The sequence below is a fragment of the Homo sapiens genome, chromosome 11, assembly GCF_000001405.40.
Source record: "Homo sapiens chromosome 11, GRCh38.p14 Primary Assembly".
Taxonomy (NCBI): Eukaryota; Metazoa; Chordata; class Mammalia; order Primates; family Hominidae; genus Homo; species Homo sapiens.
The window spans coordinates 125774482-125781840 of NC_000011.10; the positions used below are offsets into that span (position 1 = coordinate 125774482).

At 38.9% G+C, this 7359-nt stretch overlaps 1 protein-coding gene across 1 annotated transcript; it reads right to left on the reverse strand.

The window, feature by feature from the left end:
• Nucleotides 1-1631: 1631 nt before the first annotated feature.
• On the reverse strand, nt 1632-4347 carry PATE2 (prostate and testis expressed 2). The gene is made up of 4 exons (NM_212555.3): nt 4241-4347; nt 4071-4094; nt 3393-3521; nt 1632-3037 (listed from the first exon to the last, which is right to left on the reverse strand). The coding sequence occupies exons 1-4, from the start codon at nt 4290-4292 to the stop codon at nt 2901-2903; spliced, it is 342 nt and encodes a 113-aa protein (NP_997720.1). The 5' UTR covers nt 4293-4347; the 3' UTR covers nt 1632-2900.
• Between the last annotated feature and the right edge of the window lie 3012 nt (nt 4348-7359).

Consider the following 7359-nt stretch of genomic DNA (forward strand, 5'->3'; position numbering starts at 1 on the left):
AACTCATAAATATACATATTTATAAATATTTCTTTTATATACATATTTATAAATAATCTGTATTTATATTTAACTAAATATGAATTCATACTGATGTCTAATTCATTACCTCATTGATCATTCTAGCACCTTTCTCTTGCTTATCTGTAACTTCTAACTCCAACAGTGAGAAACCTGGATTCCCCCAGCCCCCATTCATTTGCTTAGGAGTTCAATTACAGTGTACCTGTAGAGCAGTATCAGAATTATTAACCTATAACCTTGGGGAAAACAATTTTATCAAGTAGAGTGCAGAGCTTGTGTACATTTTCTTTTGCCTTTAAGCTTACAGGCTCCACTCATTTACAAAGTTACTCAGATCAGAAACTTTTCCCCCAACTCAACTCAGAGAGATTGTTTCACACATTTGTAACAGTTACATCATTTTTGTCACATTGTGCATTCCTTCCTGGAATCCTCTGACTTCCTAAATGATTTTTCTTTTAATTCTCATACATTGTTTCATTCTTTGTGCAGTAAAGTTCTATGGGGTTTGACAAGTGCATAGTGTCATGTATTTACTGGTATAGTATCATACAGAATAGATTCATCACCCTAAAAAATCTTTTATACTTTACCTATTCAATCCCTTTTTTCCTCTTAATCCACTGGCAGTCATTGATATTTTCACCAACCCTATACTTTGGTCTTTTACAAAATTGGAATCAGAGTACACATGTTCCCAGACTTACAATGATTTGACTTACAAGTTTTTTAAACTTTAAGATGTGTGAAAGCAATAAGCATTCAGTAGAAGCCATACTTTAGTACCCATACAAGCATTCTGTTTTTTACTTTCAGTAGAGTAGTCAATAAATTACATGAAATACTCAATTACATGAGATACTCAAAGCCAATTATAAAATTGGCTTTGTGTTAGATGCTTTTGCCCAACTATAGGCTAATGTAAACATCCTGAGCACATTTAAGGTAGGCTAGGCTAAGCTATGATGTTTGGAAGGTTAAGTGTTTTAAATGCATTTTCAGTTCACAGTATTTTCAACTTGCAATTGTTATAACAGGATATAACCCCATCATAAGTTGAGGAGCATCTGTATGTAGCCTTTTCAGACTGGCTTCATTAACTTAGCAATATTCATTTAAAAATGTATCCATGTCCTTTCATAGCTTGATAGATCATTTCTTTTCATCATTGAGTAGCATCCCACTGTTTGGATGTACCATAGATTACATATCCATTCACTTATTGATGGGCATCTTTATTGCTTCTAGTCTCAGGCAATTATGAATAAATATGATTTTAACATTTGTGTGCAGGTTTCTGTGTGGGCATAACTGTTCAAATTGGTTGAGTAAATATCTAAAGGCATGATTACTGAATGACATAGCAAGAGTATAATCACCTCTCTAAGAAACTACCAACTGTCTTCCAAAACAGCATTACCATTTTGCATTCCTGCCAGCAATAAATGAGATTTCCTATTGCTCTATATCTTTGACAAAAATTGCTACTGTGAGGGTTTTTTATTTTTTTGATTTTGACCATTTAAAATGTATAGTTGCGTAATATTGTTGTTTTAATTTGCAATTCCCTAGTGAGATATGATGTTAAGCATATTTTCATATGCTCATTTACTATCTGTATATCTTTTTCTATTCAGATTTTTTGGCCAATTTTTCTGGCCTTTATTTATTTATTTATTTTTTTATTTTACTTTAAGTTCTGGGATACATGAAAGAAAGTGCAGCATGCAGGTTTGTTACATAGGTATACATGTGCCATGGTGGTTTGCTGCACCCATCAACCCGTCATCTAGGGTGCAGTCAGCCTTATAAGGACAGAAACACCAGGGTTAGTGTGTATCCAAGGAAAATGTGCCACCTTGGCCACAGGTGTGCTCCAACATCAATGCTACTCAGTTTCTCTTCCTATCTGTTTCTGTGTCTTCCTTCTTCTCTTCCCACCACTGTTACCCATATATGCTACCTTTCTCACACTTTCTGCAAACTCATAACTTCCTCTTACACAGGGCACTCTGTTACTTGAACACTACCTCATGGTATCTATTTACATCCTATTATCTTCAACTACTACACCACCTGCCACATTATCAGCATTTTGTTTGCTCAGTCCCATGAGAAGAACCTGACTAGCCATCCTTAAAAAAACACTCTGTTCCCAATCCAATCACCTAGTTCAACCATGTGCCCAAGGCTGCCTGGCCAGCCAGGGCAATGATAATTCAAGCCAATTCCACCCACAGCAAGTTATTTCTCAGATCTTAGTTTTTACCAGTTGAAATGCCCCCTGAAGTTTTCTTTGATGCTCATCCCTATGTCTGTTCAGTTTTTTTTTTTCTGCCCTGAGGTTCCCCCAAGAGCTCTATCAGAGAAAGACTTGGCCCATGCTGCCAACACACTGGGAAGCTGGGGTTAGCCCTCTCCAGAACCCACGGGCAGAAAAGGACAGTGCCAGAAAGTGTCAGGGCTAATCCAAAGAGAATTCCAACGGAGAGGAGTGTGTGTGTAGATGAGGATAGAGGATAGTCACAGAATTCTCAGTACAAATTGGAGATTATTATGGCCCAAGTGTTCACATTTTCATACAGGAGATAATAAATGACCAAGTCTGAGCTTATTCATGGCAGTATCACGTAAGGAGAGCAAAACCCCTCCCACCTGTTAGCGACAGGGATGTGCAAAGAGTGAGTCTAGTGCTCCATCATCAATAGGCTCCGCTGTCCACACTGCGTCTCCTTATGCCTGCTTGTCTTTTCACTATGAGCTGGCTTTCTCACTCTCTACCAATGCATAGAAGAGGAGAGCAAAATTCAGGTTCAGGGAAGAGAAAAAGAGCGTAGTGGTTGAAAAAGAACCCAAAATCCAGGAGAGACGTAGAACTAAACTCCCTCAGGGAGGTTGCAGTAGTTACTATGATCACAACAGATGAGCTCTACCCTCTTCGTGAACCCCAGGAAGTTGATGTCCTCACAGCTGGTCATACACGACAGTTTTGAATAATGATACATGCTCTGCCCTGAGGAGGTAAAAGAGAGGAAATATGATCATAATGACCTCATTTCCTTTTACTGCGTTCCTAGGAGTAATCTGTTTTTGTGTCCTCACTAACCTTTCTCTAGGCCCAAATGAGTTCCAAAGCTGAGTCTGTTAATTGCTGACCCAGAGAGTAGATTTTATTCCCTGCCAGGTAAGGGACATCAGCCTCTTTTTCACTCAATATGGTCTTAGGGAAAAGTCTGTCTTTGCCATCCCCTCAAGACCACCCCATACTCACCCATCCCATTCACCTACTCACGCTGAGGGCAAAAGAACACTACTGTTTCTCAGGGATGGTGGTGGTGATTTTCCAGTCACTCTATACTCCACATTACCTTTCCTTGTAAGGATGTAAAAGTTCTCAACTGCACAGGACTGTTTATGCTTCAGGGAGCAGGATGTCATGACACCATAGCATAACCCAAGATGATATTTTTTACATTCATAACACATTATTTCAGTCGCTGCCAGATACAAAAAGAGGTGCTTAGAGGATGCAGTCTTGAGAATATTCTCTGGGGCTGGGGGCTTCACTACAGGACCTTATTCTTGCCTAGTGGTTCCTAACATTTTTTGGACCATGGACTCTTGGTAATCTTGAGAAAGATAGGGATAATCATGCTGCGGTCCTCCCCATGTACACATTAATAAATTTGTACACATTTTCTCCAATTAAAAAAATCTTGTGAAAGATAACCTGTACAAACATAAATCAAACACTGTATATGATTTCAGGAGGTCAGGGTTCCCATGAAATTTATCCATGGACCTCCAGTAATGAACCCCTTATCTAGCCTGATGATTTTGCCGAGTAATGGGTAAAAGAAAGTAAAGTGGATCTTAGCCTCCTTACTCTAAGAAATGGACAAAACAGGTCTGGCAGGAGGCGAAACCCCTAGGATTCTATAATAAGAATGGATTACAGGCCTCTCTGAAGATGAAGGAAAGGTTTGCTCCTAAACATGTCACAAATTGCCTGTTTACCAAGGACTTCAGAGAAGCCATGATTGTACCTTTTATAGGGTCATGAAGTTCACCTGTGAAAAGAAGAAAAACCTTCCATGTTACAGTCTCACATACATCTGCCACTGCCCCAAGAGCCAATTTTGAAAACTTTCTCTTCCCCCAGCATCTGTCCGTCTCTTAACCAACCACCAGCTTCCCCTCTGTCTCCAGGACTTACCCCAATATGGGCAGAGCAGAAAGACTGTGCCCAGGAGAAAGAGAACAAGCATCCTGGAGCTTCTGTCAGGTGCAGCTTCCTGTGGAAGGAGCAAGTTGTTCTCTTGTGATCTGTCCTTGGGCTAGTCATCTAAATTATATAATCATAAAATTTCAGGGACAGGCAGTATGGCAATGTTCCAAGCCAAACCACCATATCTGATTGCTGCACAGCATTCTAAAGAGGGTACTCACTTTGATTTTGTGCAAATCCTCTAATGAAAATGAAATGGTAATGTTCCTGATTCACCAGACCTGCTCCTACTTCAATATTGCAGAGTTTTAAAAAGTATTTTCAACTTTCATTTTAGATTCAGGGGGTACATGTGCAGGGTTGTTACAGGGGTATATGGCTTGATGCTGAGGTTTGGGGTACGAATGATCCCGTCACCCAGGTAGTGAACATAGCACCCAACAGTTATTCAGTCCTGCCCAGTCTCTCCTCACAATGTTGCAGGTTTTAATACATCTGGGAGGTGTTCTTTACATCTTCTTGTGTTTCATCCTCATTGAGCAATCTAACAGCAAGTCTTATCCATTCTACCTACTAACTTCTCACATGGGTTTATTATTCTCTGTCGCCACTGCCATTACCATAATCCAGTCTATTATGTCTTGCCTGGACCAAGCAATGGCCTTATTTCTGGCCTCCATGCTTCTCCTCTGCCCCTTCATAATCATTTCTTCATAAAGCAGTCAGAGAACAAGTCATAGATGCCACACCCCTGCTGAAAACACTCTGACGACTTTTTATTACCTTTGAAAGAAAATCCAGAGTTTTTATCATAGCCGGCAATGGCTTTGTCATTATGAGCAATGGCCTCCCCTCCAATCTCCTTTCTCTCCACATTTCCCTGGCTCACTCAGGTCTTTGCTCAAATGTCACTCCCTCAGACAGAGCAGCATTTTCTGCTTAATCTCTAGAAAATGACAGCCTTCATTTCCTACCTTTTTCCCTGTGGTATGTTTCATTGCAATTCTAATAAGCTGATCTTACATTGCTATTGGCTCACTTTTTTACTCCTCCACTAGAACAAAGCAAGGGGTTTCTTTGGTTTATCATGGCACACTTGGCATCTAGAGGCTGGGAACAAAGGAAATGCCCAACAAATATTTGTGGGAGGAATTAATAATGTTCTTCCCATATCCTGCCTTGCATCCCTCCAGTCCATTCTCCACAGAGCATCCAGCTTTATCAGACTGGTTTTTTGAACTATAATAAAGACAAGAAATGAGACTTTCTACATTCCAGCAAGGGTCCCAAGATAGTAGGTAGCAAGTGTTTCACATTTCAAAGTGAAATGCTATGCTACTTAGGCAGATTTACAAAGAAAATCAATGAAACCGTGTTTAATATCCTGGACTTGCTGCCCACCTGGAGGGTATAAATGAACAGTGAAGTGCCAGAAAATAAAATGGAAGGAGTTTCTATAGTCTAGTGTGAGGGTTACTTTTCTATATATGGCTCAAAAAACAGAACCATAAAAAAGATATGTTTATCTATATTTTTAAAAAATCTTCTACATAGATGGAAAACCAATCATTAATCCATAAGCAAAGACCAAATAACAAATAAACCATTAAAAATATTTGCAACTCATATCTCAGACTAAGGGCGAATCTCCCTATTATACAAAGATATTCCAGAAATTGATTTTTAAAAGATTAACAATTCAAAGGGGAGAGACGCAGTCAATAATAATGTCATAGTTCACAGAAAAAAGAAACAGAAATGCTTCTTAAACACATGAAATATGGTGAACCTTGCTCCTAATTTTAGGATATTAGTTTTACTTAACAGATTTGCAATAATCAGAATTTAGTAACACAACTGTGTTGGCAAGATGGAGTAAAATGAGCACTGTCATACATTGCTGATGGGGCTGTAACTTAATATATCAGTAAGGAATAAAATTAGACAATAGCTCGTCAATTTTATATCTTTCCTGCTTTCTCTTGTGGGCATTTAGTGCTATAAATTTCCCTCTACACACTGCTTTAAATGTGTCCCAGAGATTCTGGTATGTTGTGTCTTTGTTCTCATTCATTTCAAAGAACATCTTTATTTCTGCCTTCATTTCGTTATGTACCCAGTAGTCATTCAGGAGCAGCTTGTTCAGTTTCCTTGTAGTTGAGTGGTTTTGAGTGAGTTTCTTAATCCTGAGTTCTAGTTTGATTGCACTGTGGTCTGAGAGACAGTTTGATATAACTTCTGTTCTTTTACATTTGCTGAGGAGTGCTTTACTTCCAACTATGTGGTCAATTTTGGAATAAGCGTGATGTGGTGCTGAGAAGAATGTATATTCTGTTGATTTGGGGTGGAGAGTTCTGTAGATGTCTATTAGGTGTGCTTGGTGCAGAGCTGAGTTCAAGTCCTGGATATCCTTGTTAACCTTCTGTCTCATTGATCTGTCTAATGTTGACAGTGGGGTGTTAAAGTCTCCCATTATTATTGTGTGGGAGTCTAAGTCTCTTTGTAGGTCTCTAAGGACTTGCTTTATGAATCTGGGTGCTCCTGTATTGGGTGCTTAAATATTTAGGATAGTTATCTCTTCTTGTTGAATTGATCCCTTTACCATTATGTAATGGCCTTCTTTGTCTCTTGATCTTTGTTGGTTTAAAGTCTGTTTTATCAGAGACTAGAATTGCAACCCCTGCCTTTTTTTGTTTTCCTTTTGCTTGGTAGATCTTTCTCCATCCTTTTATTTTGAGCCTACATGTGTCTCTGCTCGTGAGATGGGTCTCCTGAATACAGCACACAGATGGGTCTTGACTCTTTATCCAATTTGCCAGTCTGTGTCTTTTAATTGGAGCATTTAGCCCATTTACATTTAAGGTTAATATTGTATGTGTACATCACAATTGAAAGAACTAGGGAAGCAAGAGCAAACACATTCAAAAGCTAGCAGAAGGCAAGAAATAACTAAGATCAGAGCAGAACTGAAGGAGATAGAGACATAAAAAACCCTTTAAAAAATCAATGAATCCAGGAGCTGGTTTTTTGAAAAGATCAACAAAATTCATAGACCACTAGCAAGACTAATAAAGAAGAAAAGAGGGAAGAATCAAATAGACGCAATA

Excerpts from the sequence above, each read along its gene's own strand:
- PATE2 (NM_212555.3), bottom strand. The coding sequence starts at position 4,292 with ATGCTTGTTCTCTTTCTCCTGGGCACAGTCTTTCTGCTCTGCCCATAT. Across the intron at positions 4,095-4,240 it reads TCTGCTCTGCCCATATTGGG|GTGAACTTCATGACCCTATA; the intron begins GTAAGTCCTGGA and ends TTCTTTTCACAG. Across the intron at positions 3,522-4,070 it reads ACTTCATGACCCTATAAAAG|CGACTGAAATAATGTGTTAT; the intron begins GTACAATCATGG and ends TGTATCTGGCAG.